At 47.0% G+C, this 22,846-nt stretch overlaps 1 protein-coding gene across 2 annotated transcripts in view, besides 6 other annotated features; it reads left to right on the top strand.

Annotated features, from left to right (window-relative positions):
* Positions 12,012-12,071: a silencer, noted in NCBI's record as "silent region_7703". NCBI's record gives its function as "represses an Ori minimal core promoter by ATAC-STARR-seq in GM12878 lymphoblastoid cells {active_cell/tissue: GM12878}" and the evidence as "EXISTENCE:reporter gene assay evidence [ECO:0000049][PMID:35858748]".
* Positions 12,082-12,211: a silencer, noted in NCBI's record as "silent region_7702". NCBI's record gives its function as "represses an Ori minimal core promoter by ATAC-STARR-seq in GM12878 lymphoblastoid cells {active_cell/tissue: GM12878}" and the evidence as "EXISTENCE:reporter gene assay evidence [ECO:0000049][PMID:35858748]".
* Positions 12,222-12,591: a silencer, noted in NCBI's record as "silent region_7701". NCBI's record gives its function as "represses an Ori minimal core promoter by ATAC-STARR-seq in GM12878 lymphoblastoid cells {active_cell/tissue: GM12878}" and the evidence as "EXISTENCE:reporter gene assay evidence [ECO:0000049][PMID:35858748]".
* The window catches only part of FA2H (fatty acid 2-hydroxylase), a 61,852-nt gene continuing 51,323 nt past the window's right edge, over positions 12,318-22,846 (top strand). For both annotated transcript variants that reach the window (NM_024306.5, XM_011523317.4), the window contains exon 1: positions 12,318-12,652. In NM_024306.5, coding sequence (NP_077282.3) covers positions 12,383-12,652 — 270 coding nt within the window. In that variant the 5' untranslated portion in view covers positions 12,318-12,382. The remainder of the gene's footprint in view (positions 12,653-22,846) is intronic.
* Positions 12,632-12,681: a silencer, noted in NCBI's record as "silent region_7700". NCBI's record gives its function as "represses an Ori minimal core promoter by ATAC-STARR-seq in GM12878 lymphoblastoid cells {active_cell/tissue: GM12878}" and the evidence as "EXISTENCE:reporter gene assay evidence [ECO:0000049][PMID:35858748]".
* Positions 14,972-15,261: an enhancer, noted in NCBI's record as "active region_11110". NCBI's record gives its function as "activates an Ori minimal core promoter by ATAC-STARR-seq in GM12878 lymphoblastoid cells {active_cell/tissue: GM12878}" and the evidence as "EXISTENCE:reporter gene assay evidence [ECO:0000049][PMID:35858748]".
* Positions 16,057-16,136: an enhancer, noted in NCBI's record as "active region_11109". NCBI's record gives its function as "activates an Ori minimal core promoter by ATAC-STARR-seq in GM12878 lymphoblastoid cells {active_cell/tissue: GM12878}" and the evidence as "EXISTENCE:reporter gene assay evidence [ECO:0000049][PMID:35858748]".

Here is a 22,846-nt window from a genome sequence, read left to right as displayed (position 1 = left end):
CAATGGCATGATCTTGGCTCATTGCAGCCTTGGCCTCCTGGGTTGAAGCAATTCTCCTGCCTCAGCCTCCCAGGTAGCCAGGATTACAAGTGTGCACCACCACACCTGGCTAATTTTTGTACTTTTAGTAAAGATGGGGTTTTGCCATGTTGGCCAGGCTGGTCTCAAACTCCTGACCTCAAGTGATCCACCCACCGTGGCCTCCCAAAGTGCTAGAATTACAGGCTTGAGCCACCACACCCGGCCCAGCCTTCCCTTTTCTAATAGTCACCAGGGTACTCACTTCCCAGGAGACTTTTCTATTAATTTCACTAAACCCTCTCTTTTTAAATATGTGTATATTCCCTCTGCCTCTCTGCACCATGGCAGTTTAGGTAATTTTTTGGAGGGAGTTGCTTTACAAATGCCCTCCAGCTTCACATGCTCTTTTCCTCAATCTGGGGCATATAAATGATGTCTTCCCTTTCCTTTATGTTCCCAGCTCAAGACAGAGAGCAGGAATTTGAAAAAGATGGAGGGAGTAAATAAGTGAAACTACTCTGCACTGTGGTAATAGCTAGCCTAGAGCACTAGGGAGTTTCTCAGTAACTCCAATCACTGCCTGTCTTACCTGTCTAAATGCACCCAGCAGATTTGTTCAAAAGTTATTCCGTCCAACTCAAGTCCACAGGCAACAAGACCAAATAATGATGCAGAACTCCAAGGCAAGTTATTGTTAACTGGCCCTTTTCCCTGATTGCTATCTCCGAATGGCCAAGCACTGATATCTAGATATACTTGTGGTATGGTTTGGCTGTGTCCCCACCCAAATCTATTCTTGAATGGTGTCTCATAATTCCCATGTGTTGTGGGAGGAACCCTGTGGGAGATAATTGAATTATGGGGGTGGTTTCCCCCATACTGTTCTCATGGTAATGAATCAGTCTCACAAGATCTGATGGCTTTACAATGGGAAACTCCTTTTGTGTGGCTCTCATTTCTCTCTTGCTGCCGCCATGTAAGAAGCACCTTTTACCTTCTGATTGTGAGGCCTCTCCAAGCACATGGAATTGTGAGTCCATTAAATCTCTTTTTCTTTATAAATTACCCTGTCTTGGGTATGTCTTTTTTTTCTTTTTTCTTTTTTTGTTCTGAGACAGAGTCTCCTCTGTTGCCCATGCTGGAGTGCAGTGGTGTGATCTCGGCTCACTGCAACCTCTGCCTACTAGGTTCAAGCGATTCTCCAGCCTCAGCCTCCCAAGTAGCTGGGATTACAGGTACCTGCCACCACATCTGGCTAATTTTTGTATTTTTAGTAAAGATTGGGTTTCACCATGTTGGCCAGGCTGGTCTCGAACTCCTGATCTCAAGTGATCCACCCGCCTCGGCCTCCCAAAGTGCTGGGATTACAGGCATGAGCCACTGCACCCAGCCGTATGTCTTTATCACCAGTGTGAAAATGGACTAATATAACTTGTGAGCAGCTGGCCTCTGCCAGACGGACCAACACTGGGCACTGGGTGACAAGCTGGCATTGAGGGAGAGCTCAGGCCTGGGACCTTTCCTCTCCTCCCTGATGCCAGGATAGCTGAACATGTCCATAACCATGATCATGATCTTAACCATAACAATAACAACACCAGATTCCACTCCACACTTGCACGACGCCAAGCAGCTCACAGAAAACTTTCTTCTGTGCTATCTCATTTGACTTTCCTGACAGCCTTTGACTCAGCCAGGACAGCAATTTTTGATCCCTATTTTATACAGAAAGAAACTGAATATTCACAGCAGCACTGTTCGTAATAGCCAAAGGTAAAAACAACCCAAAAGTCAGTCACCCGGTGAATGGATAAACAAAATGGGATATATCCATAGAATGGCACACTATTGGGCCATGAAAAGGAATGAAGTACTGACACCTGCTGCCACGTGGATGAACTTCGAAAATGCTGTGCTAAGTAAAAGAAGTCAGCACAAAGGTCACATGTTGTATGATTCCTTTTCTATGAAATATCCAGAATAGGACAATCCATGAAGACAGAGAACAGATTAGTAGTTGCCAGGAGCTAGGAGAAGAACAGGATAGAGAAGGACTGCCAGTGGATCTGGGGTTTCCTTTTGGGGTGGTGAAAATATTTGGAGAAGATGATTGCACAGCACTGTGACTGTACTAATGCCCTTGAGTTGTATGTATTAAAATGGTTAAAATGATGAATTTTATGTTTTGTGAACTTTAATGCAAGTTTTTTGTTGTTGTTTTTGAGACAAGGTCCGGCTCTGTTGCTCAGGCTGGAGTGCAGTGGTATGATCTCGACTCACTGCAACCTCCACCTCCCAGACTCCAGCAATCCTCCCACCTCAGCCTCCTGAGTAGCTGGAACTACAAGCGTGTCCCTCCAGGCTCAGCTAATTTTTGTAGAGACAGGCCTTCGCTATGTTGCCCAGGCTGGTCTCGAATTACTGGACTCAAGCAATCCACCCGCCTCGGCCTCCCAAAGTGCTGGGATTACAGGCGTGAGCCACCACACCCAGCTCATGTACACACATTCTGTGATGTTCATATAATGATGAAATAGCCTAATGATGCATTGCTTAGACTGTATACCTGCCATTAAGTGACACATGACTGTATACATTTGATTTATGTGAAAGTGATACCTCAGAGCCATGTAGAAAAGAGTGTGGTCTTTTCAACAAGTGTTGCTGAATAGACTGGATATATACATGGAAAAAAATACTAATCTCGACCCATATCTTACACCATACTAAAAAAATCAATCCCAAGTTGATTTTAGATCTAAATATGAAAAGTAAAAAAATAGAGCTTCCAGAAGAAAAGAATATATAGAAGAATATATTTATAATTTGGGGGTAGTCAAATATTTCTTAAGATACAAAAGCCATAATCATAAACTAAAAGACTGATAAACTACTTTAAATTTTAAAGGCCAGGTGCGGTGGCTTACGCCTGTAATCCTAGCACTTTGGGAGGCTGAGGCAGGCAGATCACCTGAGGTCAGGAGTTCAAGACCAGCCTGACCAACATGGTGAAACTCTGTCTCTACTAAAAATACAAAAAATTAGCTGGGCGTAGTGGCGCATGCCTGTAATCCCAGCTACTTGGGAGGCTGAGGCAGCAGAATTGGTTGAACCCGGGAGGCAGAGGTTGTGGTGAGCCAAGATCACACCATTGCACTCCAGCCTGGGCAACAAGAGCAAAAACTCCGTCTAAAAAAAAAAAAAAAAATGTTCCTCAGCTGGGCACAGTGGCTCACGCCTATAATCCCAGCACTTTGGGAGGCCGAGGTGGGCGGATCACCTGAGGTCAGGAGTTCAAGACCAGCCTGGCCAACATGGCAAAACCCTGTCTCTGCAAAAATACAAAAATTAGCTGGGTGTGGTGACCGGTGCCTGTAATCCCAGCTACTAAGGAGGCTGAGGCGGGAAAATCACTTCAACCCAGGATGCAGAGGTTGCAGTGAGCCGAGATCATGCCATTGCACTCCAGCCTGGGTGACAGAGCAAGACTCCATCTCAAAAAAAAAAAAAAAAAAAAAAAAAGTCCGGGTGCAGTGGCTCACGCCTGTAATCCCAGCACTTTGGGAGGCTGAGGTGAGTGGGTCACGAGGTCAGGAGTTCGAGACCAGCCTGGCCACCTACTAAAAATACAAAAAATTAGCTGGGCATGGTGGCGCGCACCTGTAATCCCAGCTACTCAGAAGGCTGAGGCAGGAGAATCACTTGAACCCAGGAGGCGGAGGTTGCAGTGAGCGGAGATCACATCACTGCACTCCAGCCTGGGCGACAGAGCAAGACTCCGTCTCAAAAAAAAAAAAAATTGACAGAAAAATGGACAATAGGGATAACCAATTAAATACAAGTATTCAGTCCCAGTCACTGAGGATACGCGCATTTAAATCACAATGAGATACCAATATTTACCCACCAGGATGGCTAAAAAATTGTTTTAACGCTAATAAAACTGAGTGTGGCAAGGATGTGGGAAAATTGGAACTCTCATATACTGCTGATGGGAGTATAATTTGGTACATTACCTACTCAAGTTGAACACAGACAAGTCTGCTCCTGGGTATCTACCTGACGGAAATGCATTCAAATTAAAAAAAAAAACAACCATGTACAAGCAAATTTATAGCAGCACTCAATAGCCACAAGCTGTAAACAACCCAAAAGTCCATTAATAATAGAATGGATAAATTAAGTGTGGCATGTTCATATACTGGAATACTATACAGATATAAGAATGTGCAAATTACTACTATACCAAACAACATAAACGGATCTCACAAACCTAAGAATAAGTGAAAGAAGGCAGTTAAACAGAATATACACTGCATGATCCTATTTGTATAAAATTCTAAAGCAGACAAAACTCACGTATGGGGTTGGAAATCAACATGGTGGTTTTCTCTGGGAAAGAGGCAGTAACTGTGAAAAGGCTTGAGGGAGACTTCTGTGGGGCTGTTAGTGTTCTATTTCCTGAGAAGTGTATGCTCACTTGGTGAAAATTCATTGAGCTGTACACTTATGATTTGTGTACTTTTCTCTATGGATGTCATACATCAACAAAAAGCTTATTTAAAAAGAAATTATTGGCCAGGCACGGTGGCTCACACCTGTAATCCCAACACTTTGGGAGACCGAGGCAGGTGGATCACGAAGTCAGGAGTTCAAGACCAGCCTGGCCAACATGGTGAAACCCCGTAAAAATACAAAAATTAGCCGGGTGTGGTGGCACCTGCCTGTAATCCCAGCTACTCACAGGCTGAGGCAGAGAATTGCTTAAGCCCAGGAGGCGGATGTTGCAGTGAGCCGAGATCGCACCACTGCACTCCAGCCTGGGTGATAGAGCAATACTCCACCTCAGAAAAAAAAAAAAAAGAAAGAAAGAAAAAGAAAAAAGAAATTATTTATAATAGAAAAACAATATAGGATACTTAGGAATTCATTTAACACAATCTTACTCTGTCACCCAGGCTGGAGTGCAGTGGCATGATCATAGCTCACTGCAGCCTCAACTTCTCAGGCTCAAGTGATCTGCCTGCCTCAGCCTCCTGAGTAGCTGGGACCACAGGTGCATCACCATCACACCCAACTAATTTTTTGTATTTTTTTTTTTGTAGACATGGGGTCTTGCCTGTTGCCCAGGCTGGTCTTGAACTCCTGGGCTCAAGCGATCCTCCTGCCTCGGCCTCCCAAATTGCTGAGATTACAGGTGTGAGCCACCAAGCCTGGCCTCAAATATATTAATCCTCTCCAAATTAATCTATGGATTCAGTAAAATTGTTTTCACAATCCCAATAGGCTTCTTCATGGACATTGACAAAATGATTCTAAAGTTTATATGAAAAAAAGAAAAATCTGAGCATAAACAAAGACACTCTTAAAGAACAGGGTGTAGGTATCAGCCTTATCAGATATCAAGACTTATTACTAAAGCTACAATAATGACAATGTATTAGCAAAGGGAGAGACAAATCTGACCTTTAGAAGGATATAGAAGGAAAAAAAAAAAGGATATAGAAGGTGCCCCAACTGTACACTAAAAAGGCCACATTTTATTGTATGTAAATAATCTCAATAAAAGAACAAAATGACCTTATATGTTTGAGTCTCTTTCTGTTCTGTTTTGTTCCACTGATCTATTTGTTGCTTCTTATGCAAGTACTACACTGTTTTGAATATGTAGCTTTATACCAAGGCTTGAAGTCAGGAAGTGTAAGTCCCATAAGTTTGTTCTTTCTCAAGATTGCTTTCAATATTCTAGGTCCTTTGCATTTCCATATACATTTTAAAAGCAAGTTAAAGTTCTAAAAAACAACAACAACAACAACAACAACTAGTGGGCTAGCACGATGGCTCATGCCTGTAATCCCAGCACTTTGGGAGGCCAAGGCGAGCAGATTACCTGAGGTCAGGAGTTCGAGACCAGCCTGGCCAGCATAGTGAAACCCCGCCTCTACTAAACGTATGAAAATTAGCCGGGTGTGGTGACGCGTGCCTGTCATCCCAGCTACTTGGGAGGCTGAGGCAGAAGAATCACTTGAACCCCAGGAGACAGAGGTTGCAATGAGCTCAGATTGCACCACTGCACTCCAGCCTGGGTGACAGAGTAAGACTCTGTCTCAAAAAACAAACAAACAAACAAAAAACAACCACAAAACTAGTGGCTAGTGGGATTATGATTGGAATTGTGTTGAATCATTAGATCAGTTGGAAGATAATTGAGATCTTAATATTGAGTTATGCAATATATGAACTTGGAATTTGGTATATCTATGAATTCCATTTGTTAAGATATTCTTTCATTTATCTCAGCAGCATTTTTGTAGTTTTCAGTTAGAGGTTTTAGATAATTTTTGTCAAATTTATCCTTGCATACTTTATGGGTTTTGCCACTATTATAAATGAAATTCTAAAACATTATTTTCCAATTGTTTGTTGCTAGTAATTAAAATATGACTGATTTTTGTATTTTGACCTTGGATCCTATGGACTTGCTAAATTTACTTATTAGTTCTGGTTGTTTTGCAAATTGGTTGAGATTTTCTATGTAAACGATCATGGTCTCTGCAAGTAGAAAGTTTTCCTCCTTCATTTCTTCTTTTTATGGCTTTCTTTTTTTTGTTTGCCTTACATCACTGGCTAGCATTGCTAATGTTGAATATAAGTGATAAGACTGCCATCCTTGCCTTGTTTCTAATATTAGGGCTAGAGATTTTCATGCATCTTTCATGGAGATGTAAAATAGTATATCCACCTAGAAGTCAATTTACATTCTCTTGCAAATTTGAACACTTGCGTACTCTAGGATGTACTCCTAGGTACATAGGCTACAGAAAGTCTCACCCATAGGTATAAGAAATTTCACAATAGAAAAAAAAAGAAACAATTAAAATTCCTTTGAAGAGGAAAAGGGAAATGAATAAATTCATATAGTGGAATATGACATAGCAGTGAAAACTGGTGTGGTAGCACGTGCCTGTCATCCCAGCTACTCAGCAGGCTGAGGCAGAATAATTGGTTGAACCCAGGAGACGGAGGTTGAAATGGGCTCAGATTGCACCTCTGCACTCCAGCCTGGGCGACAGAGTAAGACTCTGTTTCCAAAAAAAAAAAAAAAAAGTGATCCTCAACACTGGATGGAGTGTCGGATGAATCTTCAAATAAATAAAGCATGCACGGCCACATAAAGCTAAATAGAGTATCACATGATTTTCATAAAATCAAAACCAAGCTGATCTAAATAATACATTCTATAGGCACACACTTAGGTGTGCTAAAAATATTAAAACTAAAAGCAGACTGGGCGCGGTGGCTCACGCCTGTAATCCTAGCACTTTGGGACGCCGAGGTGGGCAGATCACCTGAGGTCAGGAGTTCAAGACCAGCCTGGCCAAAATGGTGAAACCTCATCTCTACAAAAATAAAAAAATTAGCTGGGTGTGACGGCAGAAGCCTGTAATCCAGTTACTTGGGAGGCTGAGGTATGAGAATTGCTTCAACCTAGAAGGCAGAGGTTGCACTGAGCCAAGATCACAGCACTGCACTCCAGCCTGGGGACAGGACTCAATTCTGTTTCAAAGGAAGGATGAGCATAAACATCAGGGAAAATTTTATGTCTTTGTAACCAATAGGCAGAGAGGTGAAAGGTTTGGGGTACAGTAGTAGGTGCAAGTTTTTGGTAATGTCCTAGCTCTTGAGTTAGGAGGAAGATTCAAGGAGTTAAGGAAACTTTTTGCTTTAAAAATTACATATATGTTTTTGTTTTCATAAAAATATCTTAAAGATTAAATAATTAAAAATAGCAAACTAGTTTTTAGCATGCCATACACACCATTCCTGTTGTTTTCCCCTACAATACTCTGGAGATTATTCTAAATTAGTACACATAGATCTACCTCATTTTTTCTAATGGCTACATAGTATTTCACTGTCTGAATATACCATAGTTTATTTAATCAGTCCTCCCTCATGATGAACATTTGATCATTTCTAGTCTATAAATGAGGTTGCAATTAATGTTATTGTTCATGCATCTTGATATAGTATATCTGTAAGATTAAATTTCTAGAAGTGGAAATAACTAGGGCAAGAACTGTGAGTGTTACAATTCTGAACAGATGGCCAAATCATTTGTTCAACTGTAAACACTGGGAGTTCACAGCCATGGTGAGAAATCCAAATGGGAGTGCCCACAGATACTGTCAGCAAGAAGTGCCTGAGTACACCTGCGACTGTGCGCTTGGCTGCTTTGGCACATGAACGGGATTTGCAGCAGAGTAGGTGTGGAAGTTGGGTAAAGGTGACTACTTATGCATTCACCGCTTGAGAAAAGCAACAACTCTGTTGATGTGAGGCCTCTAGGCCTGACGGACAGGTGCTCCATAGACCCACAGACAGCAAAACTCTCGCCTACTCCCTGAGGGTCAGTCCGAAGAGAAGGGAGAGGGAAGAGGGGCGGCTCTTCTGACCTGGGGACCCCTGAGGCATCTGGGCCAGGCTTCCCATACTTGAACTGGCCCAGCACAGATGCCTGGCCCCAGAAGGGCACAAATGGAGATGATCCTTAAAATATCTTTCCTGAAAGAGACAAAGCCAGCTGGATGGGTTAGCCTCTGTACCAGGAGCATTTGATTACAAATCATGAGTTCAAGTGGGATCCCCTGTGGCTGAGCAAGTAAAGCTGGGTGTGGCTTTTCTGCTTTTTGTTTTCTGTTTAAGAGATGGAGCTCACTCTGTTGCCCAGGCTGGAGTGCAGTGGTGCAGTCATAGGATACTGCAGCCTCAAACTCCTGGACTCAAGAGATCCTTTGGCCTCAGCCTCCCCAGTAGCTGGGACGATAAGCCTGCATCACTACAACTGGCTAATTTTTTAAATTATTTATTTATCCAATTATTTTTGAGATGGAGCCTCGCTCTGTCACACAGGCTGGAGTGCAGTGGTGCAATCTCCACTCACTGCAACATCTGACGCCTGGGTTCAAGCGATTCTCCAGCCTCAGTCTTCTAAGTAGCTGGGACTACAGGGGCATGCCACTGCGCCCGACTAATTTTCTTGTATTTTTAGTAGAGACAGGGTTTCACCATGTTCGCCAGGCTGGTCTCAAACTCCTGACCTCAGGGGATCTGCCTGCCTTGGCCTCCCAAAGTGCTAGGATTACAGGTGTGAGCCACCGCACCTGGCCTCAATTTTTTTTTTTTTTTTTTTTGAGACAGAGTTTCGCTCTTGTTGCCCAGGCTGGAGTGCAATGGCACAATCTCACTGCAACCTCTGCCTCCCGGGTTCAAATGATTCTCCTGCCTCAGCCTTCCTGAGTAGCTGAGATTACAGGCAGGCACCACCATGCCTGGCTAATTTTTTATTTTTAGTAGAGATAGAGTTTCTCCATGTTGGTCAGGCTGGTCTCAAACTCCCGACCTCAGGTGATCCGCCCACCTCGGCCTCCCAAAGTGCTGGGACTACAGGCATGAGCCACCGCGCCCGGCCTGGCCTCAATTTAAAAAAAAAATTTTTTTGTAGAGACGAGGTATTGCTTTGTTGCCCAGGCTGGTCTTGAACTCCTGGGCTCAAGCGATCCTCCTGCCTTGGCCTCCCAAAGGGTTGGGATTACAGGCATGAGCCACCATGTCCAACCAAGTTTTTCCTGTTCTAAACAAAACTGTGATGAACAAATTCAGTCCTCCTTTCCACACAGCATCACCCCCAGCCTTTACTCCTGTAGGCCCCTACTTCCCCTTCTGTAATGGAGACAGTGTTCTCTGTTCTCCCCTCAGGTCCTTCCCCAGGGCCCAGGATTAGAGTGAGGGAGTGAGGCACTAACCCTGAGAGCAAAATCTACAGGCATGCCAAAAAACAAACAAAAAAAAGTAACCAAGATAAATAATATTTTAATGCAGTATTGTAAAACTTCAAGATTAATGCAAAAAAATCCATGATGGACAAAATATCAAAATTTTAAATAAAAACAGGAGCTAACCCTGCACTTTCACATCCCTGTCTCAGGAATCCCTGGCCCTGGTTCCAATAAAACTTTATTTACAAAAACAGGTGGCCAATGCCACGCCCCCAACCCCACCCCTCACCCCTGTCTTTTGACAATGTGATTTTTTAAAACATTCTTAAATATTTTGTATTGCGGTAAAATATACATAATATAAATTTACCATTCCAACCATTTTCAGTGTACAGTTCAGTGGCATTAAGAACATTCACATTGTGCAACAAAATAATTTTTTTTTTGAGACAGAGTCTCTCTTTCTCGCCAGGCTGGAGTGTGGTGGGGCGTTCTCGGCTCACTGCAACCTCCAACTCCCAGATTCAAGCGATTCCCCTGCCTCAGCCTCCCAAGTAGCTAGGACTACAGATGCGTGCCTCCACAGCCAGCTAATTTTTGTATTTTTAGTAGAGATGGGGTTTCACTATGTTGGCCAAGATGGTCTCGATCTCTTGACCTCGTGATTCGCCCACCTCGGCCTCCCAAAGTGCTGGGATTACAGGTGTGAGTTACCGCACCCAGCCAACAATATAATTTTTTAAATATTACGTTCAGGTATTAGATATAGTGATGACTGAGTTTTGGGGTGCCCCATTAAATTTTGCCCTCGAACATTATTAAAAAGTCAAGAAACAGTAGATGTCTGCGTGTATGTAGTGAAAGGGGGATGCTTATGCTATGCACTGCTGGTGGGAATGTAAATTAGTACAACTTGTTTGGAAAACAGTACAGAGATTCTTTAACAAACTAAAAGTACACTTTGGGGCTGGGCGCGGTGGCTCACGCCTGTAATCCCAGCATTTTGGGAGGCTGCGGCGGGAGGATCACTAGAGGCCAGGAGTTCGAGACCAACCTGGCCAACATGGTGAAACCCCGTCTCTACTAAAAATACAAAAAAATTAGCCGGGCGTGGTGGCACGCGCCTATAGTCATAGCTACTCTGGAGGCTGAGGCAGGAGAATCGCTTGAACCCGGGAGGCGGAGGTAGCAGTGAGCTGAGATTGTGCCACTGCACTTCAGCCTGGGCAACAGAGTGAGACTCTGTCTCAAAAAAAAAAAAAAAAAGTGCACTATGGGAGGCCATGGCAGGCAAATCGCTTGAGCCCAGGAGTTTGAGACCATCCTGGGCAGCATGGTGAAACCTCGTCTCTACAAAAAATACAAAAATTAGCCAGGCGTAGTGGTGCATGCCTGTAGTGCCAGCTACTTGGGAGGCTGAGGTAAGAGGATTGCTTGAGCCCGGGAGGTCGAGGCTGCAGTGAACCAAGATCGCACCACTACTCTCCAGCCTGGGTGACAGAGTGAGACCTTGTCACGGGAAGGGAAGGGAAAGGAAGGGAAGGGGAGGGGAGGGGAGGGGAGGAGAGAAAAAGTAGATTCACCATTCGGTCCAGCAATCCCACCACTGGGTATCTACCCAAAGGAAAAGAGTCATTATATGAAAAAGACACTTGCACACGAATGTTTGTTTTTTGCAGCCCAATTCACAATCGAAAAGATATGGAACCAACTTAAATAACCATCAACCAATGAGTGGATAAAGAAAATGTAGTTGATATACACGATAGAATACTACTCAGCCATAAAAAGGAACGAAATGAAGTCTTTTGCAGCAACTTGCATGGAGCTGGAGGCCATTATTCTAAGTGAAAGTGATTCAGGAATGGAAAACCAAACACTGTATGTTCTCACTCATAAGTAGGAACTAAGCTATGAGGACGCAAAGGCATACAGAGTGATATAATGGACAATAGGGAGAATGGGAGGGGGTGTAACACACACACACACACAAAACCCTACACATTGGGTATAATGTACACTACTCGGGGGACAGGTGGACTAAAATCTCAGGACTTACCACTATACAATTCCTCCATGTAACCAAAAACCACTGGTACCCCAAAAGCTACTGAAATTTTAAAAACAAACAAATATTTGCACCCGAGGCGAGCACCTCATTCGCCTCTCGCTCTCTCGGGCACCTCCTGGAGCCAGAGGGTCCCATGCGGCCAGCTCCTCCGTGGAAGCAGTTGAAGTTATTCCAGCAGCGATCAGGCCACCGAGGATGTCCGCCCAGACAACCACCCGCGACGGGGAGACTCGCTCCGCCTGTGTCCGCCCACCCTCCTCCCGCGCGGGACACACCTGGCGGGCGCGGCACTCCCTGTCCGCGGCCACCTGGCGCGCAGCTCCCGGCGCCGGGCCCGCCCCTCGCGGCTCTGCCGGGGCTCCCGGCCGGCCAATGGGAGCGCGGTATGCAAATGAGCAGGTGCGGTGGCGGCCCGCCCGGAACGGCCGCGGGGCTCCCGGGATGTTAGAGGCGCTCAGGGTGGCAGCAGAGCAGACGCCGGGCTGCGCGCTGGGAGCTGCGGTCTCCGGCCATGGCCCCCGCTCCGCCCCCCGCCGCCTCCTTCTCGCCCTCCGAGGTCCAGCGGCGCCTGGCGGCCGGCGCGTGCTGGGTCCGCCGCGGGGCCCGCCTCTACGACCTCTCCAGCTTCGTGCGGCACCACCCGGGGGGCGAGCAGCTGCTGCGGGCCAGGGCGGGCCAGGACATCAGCGCCGACCTGGACGGGCCGCCGCACAGGCACTCGGCCAACGCGCGCCGCTGGCTGGAGCAGTACTACGTGGGAGAGCTCCGCGGGGAGCAGCAGGTACAGCCGGGCCGGGGCCCCCCACCCCAACCCAGGCCTCCGTCAGCCTTCCACTCCCGGGCGAGCCCCGTTCACTTGCCCTCTAGCAGGACCCAAGGTGACAGCTTCTGCCCTCCCTTCCCTCGCTTTCCCTCTCTTCTCTCCAGGCAACAGGTCACTGTCGTCCCCTCCAACCCCTCCTTCCTCTCTCCAGGAACTTGCTCTTCCTTTCCACCCTTACCGCCTGGCCCGCCTCCGTGCCAGCTCTCCCATTTCCCCAGCACCCCTCCTTCCAGCGTGTTCCTTCTGCAGCCCCTGCCCTCCGACAACCTGGATTCCCGTTTCTGTCCCCAGCCCCCCATACGCCTCGGCTTTCCTTCCTCTTCACTTATCGGCCTCTCCCTCTTTGCAACCACTCTCCGTTTCTGTTTGGATAATGGGCTCAACCTGTTCCCACCTCCCCATCCCACCTCACTTCTGCTTCAAAGAGGCACAGATCAGTAACTCTTCTCACTAGCTTGGGTTTCCTGGTGCCGCCCTGGCCTTGCCTGGGCCATGTCTGGGGTGGACTGTGTCCTCCAACCTCTCAGACCTTCCCTTATATTCTTGTCCTACACGCTGGCTTGGGACTCCAAAAGAGTGAAATGAAAGGCATGAGCCAGTTTTGCCAAGGAAAAGGGACCAGCACTTTGGACCAGACTGTGTGCTGAGCTGCACGCTTCTGTGCAGTACCAGCTCCCGATGGTATTTAAGTCCTTAACTCAACCTGGGGCAGGTTTTGTTATTCCCATTTCAGGATATGGAATCTGAGGCTCAGGGAGGCTCTGATTAATGCGCCTAAGGTCAAATAGCTAAATAGTGGGAAAGCCACATGTATCTGACTCCAAAATCAATGCTGGCTCCATCCCAAAAGTCTTCGGGTGGAGGAGACAGACCTAGTCCACAGGATTCCAGGTAGGCTCAGGCCAGAGGCAAAGCGACTCTCTTGATGTTCCCCAGGCCTGGCTCTGGGACTGGTATGGGGCCATCATGCTTAGATATACAGTAGTTCCCCCTTGTCCAAGGGGATACATTTCAAGACCCTCAGTGGATCCTTAAAACCACAGATAGTACCGAATCCTATATATGCTATGTTTTTTCCCATATATGCATATCTATGATAAAGTTAAATTTATAAATTAAGAACAATAGGAAGAGATTAACAACAACAATAATAGAATAGTTACAACAATATACTGTAATAAGAGCTATTTGTATGTGGTCCCTTTCTCTCAAAACATCTTATAGTACTGTACTCACTCTTCTTGTGATAATGTAAGATGATAACATGAGGCCAGGCAAAGTGGCTGACATCTGTAATCCTAGCACTTTGGGAGGCCGAGGTAAGAGGATCGCTCGAGCCCAGGAGTTCAAGACCAGCCTGGGCAACATAGGGAGACCTTGTGTCTACAAAAAATACCAAAATTAGCCGGGTGTGGTGGCATGTGGCTATAATTCTAGCTACTTGGGAGGCTAAGGTGGGAGGATCACCTGAGAGGTGGAGGCTGCAGTGAGCCATGATCATGCCACTGCACTCCAGCCTGAGCAACAGAGTGAGAGCTCACCTCAAAAAAAAAAAGATAATAAGATGCCTACATGATGGGTTGGAGTGAGGTGAATGACAGGTGTGGTGATGTGGCATTGGCTACTATTGAAAAGTAATTTAAAACTTATAAATTATTTCTGGAATTTTCCATTTAATTATGTTTTTGGACCCAGGTTGACCGTGGGTTACTGAAACCATGGAAAGTGAAACCGTGGATAAGGGGGACTCCTGAAAACCAACAATTGTCCCCTGCTTCTAACTCTTGCTTTCAAGATGAGCCCAGCAACTACTCTTAGATCTTTGGTTGAAAGGACTTAGCACCCACTGTTTCAGGTGGCTTTTCATTGGGTCATCCTGCCTAATTTCTCCATCATTTATTCAGTCATGGAACTGGTTCCTTAATGGGTTGACAGCACTGTGCTGGGTGTGGGGAGATATCAATGAACAAAACGAATTCGGTTCCTGTCTTCATGGAGCTAATGGGATAATGGGGAAGGAGAGGGAACACACAGATCACATGATAGTTGCTTAATTAATGGTGTATCAGAGTACGGATCTAGAGGGGAGGAGCATAGAGAGCCTTCTTGAGAAAGCGACATTGACACTGAGAGCTGATTGATAGGCTGGGCTTAGCCAGGTGGCATGTAGCAGGAAGAATATTTTGGGCAAAGGGAACAGCACGTGTGAAGGCTCTGGCAGGAAGAGCTTGACATAGTAAAAGACTGCAAATAAAACCAACGTGGCCAGAGGCTGATGGGCAAAGACAGGGATGTGGGGGGAGGCCAAAAGTCGGCCGGGGCCACATCACACGGGGCTTCGTAGGCTGTGGTCAGGATTTGGGACTTGACTCTAACAAAAATGGGAAGCCAGGTGAGCCCGGGAGGTGGAGGTTGCAGTGAGCCAAGATCACGCCACTGCACTTCAGCCTGGGCAATAGAGCAAGACTCCATCTTAAAAAAAAAAAAAAAAGGAAGCCAGGGAAGAGGTTCAGGCAGGGTTCATGGTCAGATTTGCATCTTTAGAAGAGGACGCTGGCTGCAGTTTCAAGGAGGAACAGAGACAGCCTAAGTGGGTGTGAGGAGATCAGGCAGGATGCTGCTGCATGGCTGCCACTGCAGTGGCTGTGACCATGGGGGGAAGGGGGATGAATTCGGGAGAGTCTCTAGACAATATGCTGGGACTCAGCATTGTGTGGTGAGGGCCCAGTTTAATCTGAGAGGTTGGTGTTTGGTGTCGGCTCATGCTGAAGGGTTTAGAAGAAGATATAAGAAAAACTGAGTGCAGGAGGCCAGGCACGGTGGCTCATACCTGTAATCCCAGGAATTTGGGAGGGTAAGGCGGGTGGATCACTTGAGGTCAGGGGTTTGAGACCAGTCTGGCCAACATGGTGAAACGCTGTCCCTACTAAAAATACAAAAAATTAGCCGGGTGTGGTTGTGCACTGGGTGTGGTGGTGCCCTCCCAGCTGCTTGGGAGGCTGAGGCAGGCTGATCACTTGAGGTCAGGAGTTCGACATCAGCCTGGGCAACACGGTAAAATCTTATCTCTGCTAAAAATACAAAAATTAGCTGGGCGTGGTGGTGCATGCCTGTAATCCCAGCTGCTCGGGAGGCTGAGGTAAGAGAATCGTTTGAACCCAGGAGGCAGAAGTTGCAGTGAGCTGAGATCGCACCACTGCATTCCAGTCTGGGTGACAGGTAAGATTTTGTCACAAAAAAATAGAAAAGGAAAAAGAAAAGAAAAGAAAAACTGAGTGCAGGAAATAAGAGAGGTTGAGACTGACAGGTTTGCGGTGGCTCATGGGCCCGCCCTGTGTTGTCACTGTATCCTCTAGAAAGGAGCCTTAGGGTGTGGCTCGTCCTCGCAACACCATCCTGAGTATGCTTACAGCCACCCCTGGCCAGCTGCCCTGGATGGTCCCACCTCCCAGCTCTGCTAACCACCTAGCACCATGGTTTGCCTTGTCTGATGCTTAGAGAGGGACCCAGGGACCCAGTCTCACATGTGCTTCTGACCTGTATGCTCATCTGTTGCCTAAGAGCCCGAGGGCGGGCCATGCTGCAGACATCCTTACTTCTGGGCCCCAACCTGAGCATGTGGAACAAAACTCAAAACAATGCATCTGCAGACGCATAGCCCAAACTTGACAATGGTCACACTAGCCCAGCCCTCCACTGGGCTGCCAGCTTCTGCCTTCAGAGTTCTAACCTAAGAACTAGTACAGGGTTGTCTTTAAATTGAGAGAGAGGAAGGCTGGGCACAGTGGCTCATGCTTATAATTCCAGCACTTTGGGAGGCCAAGGTGGGTGGATCACTTGAGCCCAGGAGTTCGAGACCAGCCTGGGCAACATGGTGAAACCCCGTCTCTACAAAAAATTAGCTGGGTGTGGTGGCTCGTGCCTGCAGTCCCAGCTACTCAGGAGGCTGAGGTGAGAGGATCACTGGAGCCCAGGAGGCGGAAGTTGCAGTGAGCCAGATCACACCACTGTACTCTCCAGCCTGGGTGACAGAGCAAGACCCTGTCTCAAAAACAAACAAACAAACAAAAAACTTGTGGGAGAGGTTGTCAAAGGAGAAATCTGGGGGTGGGATATCCTTTCAAAGAGATGCCTGGCTGGAGACAATTTCTGTTCTTCTCCCTAGCTAAGCCCTTCTAGCAAGCCTCAAGCTGCCTTTTGCACTTCCCTCCTCTCCTGCTGGACCAGGGATGCTGACACCCTTGTGGTTAGAGCCCCCTGTCTCTGGAGGAGCAGGAGGCTTTTGCTGGGGAAGGGGAGTGCCATGAACCAGCTCTGTTGTTTGGGGCTCGTTTCTGAATGGTGCCCCTCCTAGGGCCCTGTCCTGCTGGTTTAGCCCTTGGATGGGAGCATCCTGGCCCTTCCCCCAGGGAGAAGGCCTGGACCCGTTTGTTCCCCCTGCACCCCACTTTGCTGCACCCTCTGTAGGTACACACATTCACACTCACACGAAGGCACATTCACAAAACAAGTCCAACTTGTTTGAGCCAACATGCTGCCTGCCACGGCCTTGGACATGGTGAAGCCAAGCTGCCCACCTTGAGCGAGTGACAGAGCCGTGGCTGAGCAGGGAAGGAGCTCAGGGCGGTGGGGTCAAGAGCCTCACCCCAAGCTCAGGCGAGAGCAGTGCTCTGCCAGCTGCAGCCACATGTTAGCAGAGTATGAAGTCCACTTATTGAGCTGCGACCGGCATTTTTCACAAAAGAAATAGACAAGGAAAGGACTTTAGGTCTAAACCTCCTTCCCAGGCTATATTACTGTGTTTCCCAGACTCTGGGCATCCATGAATCACCACCCCAGGTTTTTTTCCCCCCAGTTTGGTGTACTATACTCTGGTTACTCTTCAGATTGTATAAGTCTTTCGCCTTTTACCAATTTGGTGTACCACTTGAACTGTCATAATGTAATATTTATCTTTAAATTGACCCACTTTATTTTTCCATGTACTCATGCTTGGCGATAATAACAGTAAAATCAAAGCTTTTACGTGCACTTTAAAGGGAATGGGGGCCAGGCACGGTGGCTCATGCCTGTAATCCAGGCACTTTGGGAGGCTGAGGTGGGCAGGTCGCTAGAGCCCAGGAGTTTGAGACCAGCCTGGGCAACATGGTGAAAAACTATCTCTACAAGAAAAAATTACAAAAATTAGCCAGGCATGGTGGCATGCACCTGTGGTCCCAGCTACTTGGGAGGCTGAGGTGGGAGGATCACCTGAGCCTGGGAAGTTGAGCCTGCAATAAGCTGTGATCATGCCACTGCACTGCAGCCTGAGTGACAGAGGAGACCCCGTCTCAATAAATAAATAAAGTGAATATGGAACTGGGGTTTTTCCTGAGCCCCAAGCCTGCCACCCAGAGCGATGATAACTGCCAGAGGGTGGCTCATACTCCCCCATGCCCCACCAATCCTGGAGAGGTCCTACCGTTGGCAGATATCTGACTATGCCAGCTGACCATGCCCTCTGCTTGAGAAGACTTTAGGGAGAAGGCAAGCCTGACTCGTCAGCCACTAGTGTTGGGGTAACCTTGATGTGTGAAGGTCTCGATGCCATGTTTTAATTCCACAGGGCTTGTCTGTCTCAGCATGGCTGAGAAGTCCACAGATTCAGCCACACATGGGTCTGTAAGACTTTGGGCTCTGGCCATTCAGAGCTTAAGGGCTTGAATAATTAAATGGGGAGGGACAATAAGGAGGAGATCTAAGTGCAGAAAGACTTGGAGTTTCCACCCTACCCAGGACCGGGAACATCTTGAGCTCAGCCCATCTTGGAAAGCCGGTCTGATAAAAACTGATGCTTGGGGAATTTGCTGAACTGCCGCCACCTTCTGAGCAGAGTAGAGCCGAGAAGTCGACTTACTGGAGGGGTTGAGATCACTTGGCCTCTAAGGGGGCATCCCAGGGGAGCCTGCCTGAGCAATCAACAGTCACTGCCCTCTACCACCTGCAGGGGCTTCTACACTCTGGCCTGCTGTGGTGCCAGTCGAGTCTCACCTGGAGGACGAAGCTAGGGCCAGCTGGTGGGGCATCCAGGGCCCAGGTCACTGCAGTTCCATGGCCACCCCAGGGTCAGCACAAGCTCCAGGAGTGCTCTCTGGTGTCACCCCACAATTCAGTGAATAAAGAGGCTTTGAGACCCAGAATTGGGAAGAGGGTCAAAAATTAGGATTCTCTGGAGGAAATAAAAAGAAACAAACAGGATTCCTAGAAATACATGAGAGTAATTGTCTTTGGAAGTATTCCCGGGAAATAACCCAGACTGATGCTTCGGCAACAGCATTCATCATCTTCGCTTATTTTTTTTCTTATGACACATGCTCCTCATTGGTCTGTATGTAGTCTTCATTTATTTAGACAGGTGATAAGCATCCCATGCGCTCTGAAACCCACCACATCACAGAAACAGCCCTTGCTGGCGTTACCAGGACCTTCGCCTTCCTCCACCCGGTGGTCAGTGCTCACCTTACCTTGCATGGCCTGGCAGCAACTGGTGACACCATTGATCACCCTTCCTCCCCTCCAGTACACTTTCTTCACCTGGCTGCTGGATGCCATACCCTTTTAGTTTTCCACCTGAATTCATTTTTGATTGCTTCTCTGGCAAATTATCACAAACTCGGTGGCTTAAAGCAACACACATTTACTCTCTTACAGTTCCAAAGTAAAAAATGAATCTGCAGGGAAGCATTCCTTCTGGATGCTCTAGGGGAGATTCTTTTTTCCTGCCTTTTCCAGCTACTGGAGGCTGCCTGCATTCCTTGGCTCTTGGCCCAGCCAGCAATCTCATCATGCCAGCCTCTGCCTCTGTTGCTGCGTCTCCTCCTACGACTGATGCTCCTACATCCATCTTCCACTTAGAAGTACACTCGGGGTCACACTGGACCCACCTAGATGATCCAGGATAATCTCATCTCAAGATCTTTCACTTAATGACATCTGCAGAGTCCCTTTTGAAAAGTCAGGTAGCATATTCACAGATTGTGGCTCACACACCATCCAGACCCCGGTTGTGACTTCTCAGTCTCCATTGTTAGTTTCTCTCACTTCTCATTTCCCAGAAAGGTGCACAAAGTTTAAACATACAGCTCAGTGATTTTTTTTTTTATGAGTCTCCCTCTGTCACCAGGCTAGAGTGCAATGGCACAATCTCGGCTCACTGCAACCTCCGCCTCCCAGGTTCAAGCAATTCTCCTGCCTCGGCCTCCCAAGTAGCTGGGATTACAGGCACACACCACCACGCCCAGCTAATTTTTGTATTTTTAGTAGAGACGGGGTTTCACTATGTTGGCCAGGATGATCTTGATCTCTTAACCTCGCGATTTGCCTGCCTCAGCCTCCCAAAGTGTTGGGATTACAGGCGTGAGCCACCATGCCCGGCCAATTTTTTTTTTTTAACCTAGGTAAACATCTCTGTTGCCACCACCCAGATCGAGACCTAGAACTCTTCCAGCACCTAGCACAGGCTCCTGCCTCCTCCCAGGCAACAGCGCCTCCCAGAGGCAGCCACTGTTCTAATCTCTATCCCCATAGGATAGTTTTGTGAATCCCTCATGTTTATATGGGCATCATGCACTCTGTTGATGGCTGCTTTCACTCAGTATTATGTCTGGGGTATTATTGATGTTTTTCTTACTCTTCACAGTAATCGTTTCCATTGGCTACTCTGTCCTAGAGAATCCATAGGCAGAGGGAGAAAATGGGGAGTAACTGGAGCAAGAAGAGCCAATGGCTTGGACCACCTGTTGATCTTCAGGAGCCCCCCCCCTTAGTTTTCCTTCTGGAACATTCCCCTCACTTCTGCCCTAGTTTGGCTAGAGCCTCGCTACACTCACTATTGTCGCAGTCTCTTGGGCAGGTCTTCCTCTGTTCCCCATTGTCTCTGAACCTTTCTGAAGAGAACTTGATCATGTTATGGCAGGGCTCCTAAGTATTCAATGGCTCCCTATTGCCATATCCCTTAAGTCCAGCTTGAATCCTCTTTCTTCCACAGAGATTCTCCTTACCTCCTCACCTATATCTGCTTTTTTCCCCTTCACTCAGACTCTCATAGCTCTTTACCTGAACCTATCTTACAGCATTCATAACTTTTTTTTTTTTTTATTGAGACAGAGTCTTGCTGTGTTCCCCCGGCCCCAGGCTAGAGTGCAGTGGCACGATCTCAGCTCACTGTAACCTCTGCCTCCCAGGTTCAAGTGATTCTCCTGCCTCAGCATCCCGAGTAGCTGGGATTACAGGTGCCCACCACTATGCCCAGCTAATTTTTGTATTTTTACTAGAGACAGGGTTTCACCATGTTTGCCAGGCTGATCTTGAACTCCTGACCTCACCTGCCTCGGCCTCCCAAAGTGCTGGGATCACAGGTGTGAGCCACCACACCCAGCAGATAACATTCTTTCTTATTTAACATATTTCCACTGTGGCTCTTGTCTTCCCTATTGTTTTGTCTACTAATCTGTAAACTCCCCAAGGACTGGACTTGTCTAGTTCACCTGGATTTCTCTAGCACACACAGGCACCACTGGTACATACCAATAGGTACTAATAAATATTTGAATGCTCTGGGTATGGGCTCATACCTGTAATCACAGCACTTTGGGAGGCCAAGGCAGAAAGAGAGCTTGAGACCAGGAGTTCAAGGCCAGCCTGGGCAGCATAGTGAGACCTTAGGTCTACAAAAAAATTTTCCAACATAGCCAGGCGTGGTCATGTGTCTGTAGTCCCAGCTATTTGGGAGATTGCTTGAGCCCAGGAGGTCAAGGCTGCAGTGAGCCGTGACTGCACCATTTGTACTCCAGTCTGGGCAGCAGAGTGAGACCCTGTCTCAAAAAAATGAATGAATGAATAAATAAATGTTTGAATAAGTGGATGAATGAGTTGCTTGGAAAACTGAGGTACGTGCATAATTGAAAAGGAAATATTAGCATATGCAAGATACTTTAAGAATGAAACATAGCCGGGCACGGTGGCTCATGCCTGTAATCCCAGCACTTTGGGAGGCCAAGGCAGGCGGATTACCTGAGGTCAGGAGTCCGAGACCAGCCTGGCCAACATGGTGAAACCTCGTCTCTACTAAAAATACAAAAATTAGCCAGGTGTGGTGGCGCATGCCTATAATCCCAGCTACTTGGGAGGCTGAGGCAGGAGAGTCGCTTGAACCCAGGAGGCGGAGGTTGCAGTGAGCCAAGATCGCGCCATTGCACTCCAGCCTGGGGGACAAGAGCGAGACTTTGTATCAAAAAAAAAAAAAAGATTAAGAAAAATCTCTTTTCTGTGTCTTGTTAAAAGGTTGGGAGTTGATGGAAAGGATGGAGAACCATCAAGCAAGTCACTCATTTCTGCCTTTGTCCTCGGTTCTTTGCAGCCGGAGAGAGTTAGCAAAACCTCTCCCTTAGCAGGCTCTTACAGTCTACCCGTCCCATGAGTCTCCTTCAGGGGTTAGAAGTGAAGTTAACCATAGAAAATCTCAATCAAGACCCACATTGCTCTCAGGGTTAAGACCCCCCCAGTCCTCATGTAGCTATAAGTACCTGGGTGACACTCATAGGTATGTCCCAGGTTGCCTGGGTTTCTAGTCCTGTTTACTCTTTCTGGTGTCTTTTCATGCAAAATTCTCTAAAGCACATAGACTCAGAACAGTGGTTCTCAATCTTCTCTAATTGCTCCTATTCTTTTTTTTTTTTTAAACTTCTAAGTTCAGCAATACATGTGCAGGTTTGTTAAATAGGTAAACTCATGTCATGGGGGTTTGTAGTACAGATTATTTTGTCACCCAGGTGTTAAGTCTAGTACCCATTAGTTATGTTTCCTGCTCCTCTCCCTCCTCCTATCCTGCACCCTCGGGTGGAGGCCTCAGGTATCTGTTGTTTCCATCTTTGTGTCCATAAATTCTCATCATTTAGCTCCCACTTATAAGTGAGAACATGTGGTATTTGGTTTCTGTTCCTGACTTAGTTTGCTAAGGATAATGGCTTCCAGCTCCATCCATATTCCCTCAAGGGACATGATCTCGTTCTTTTTTGTGGCTGTATAGTATTCCATGGTGTATATGTACCACATTTTCTTTATCCAGTCTACCATTGATGGGCGTTTGGGTTGATTTCATGTCTTTGCTGTTGT

Source organism: Homo sapiens, chromosome 16 (genome assembly GCF_000001405.40).
Source record: "Homo sapiens chromosome 16, GRCh38.p14 Primary Assembly".
Lineage (NCBI taxonomy): Eukaryota > Metazoa > Chordata > Mammalia > Primates > Hominidae > Homo > Homo sapiens.
The sequence above is the reverse complement of the archived record's forward strand: the minus strand, read 5'-3'. Positions and strand labels throughout refer to the sequence as shown.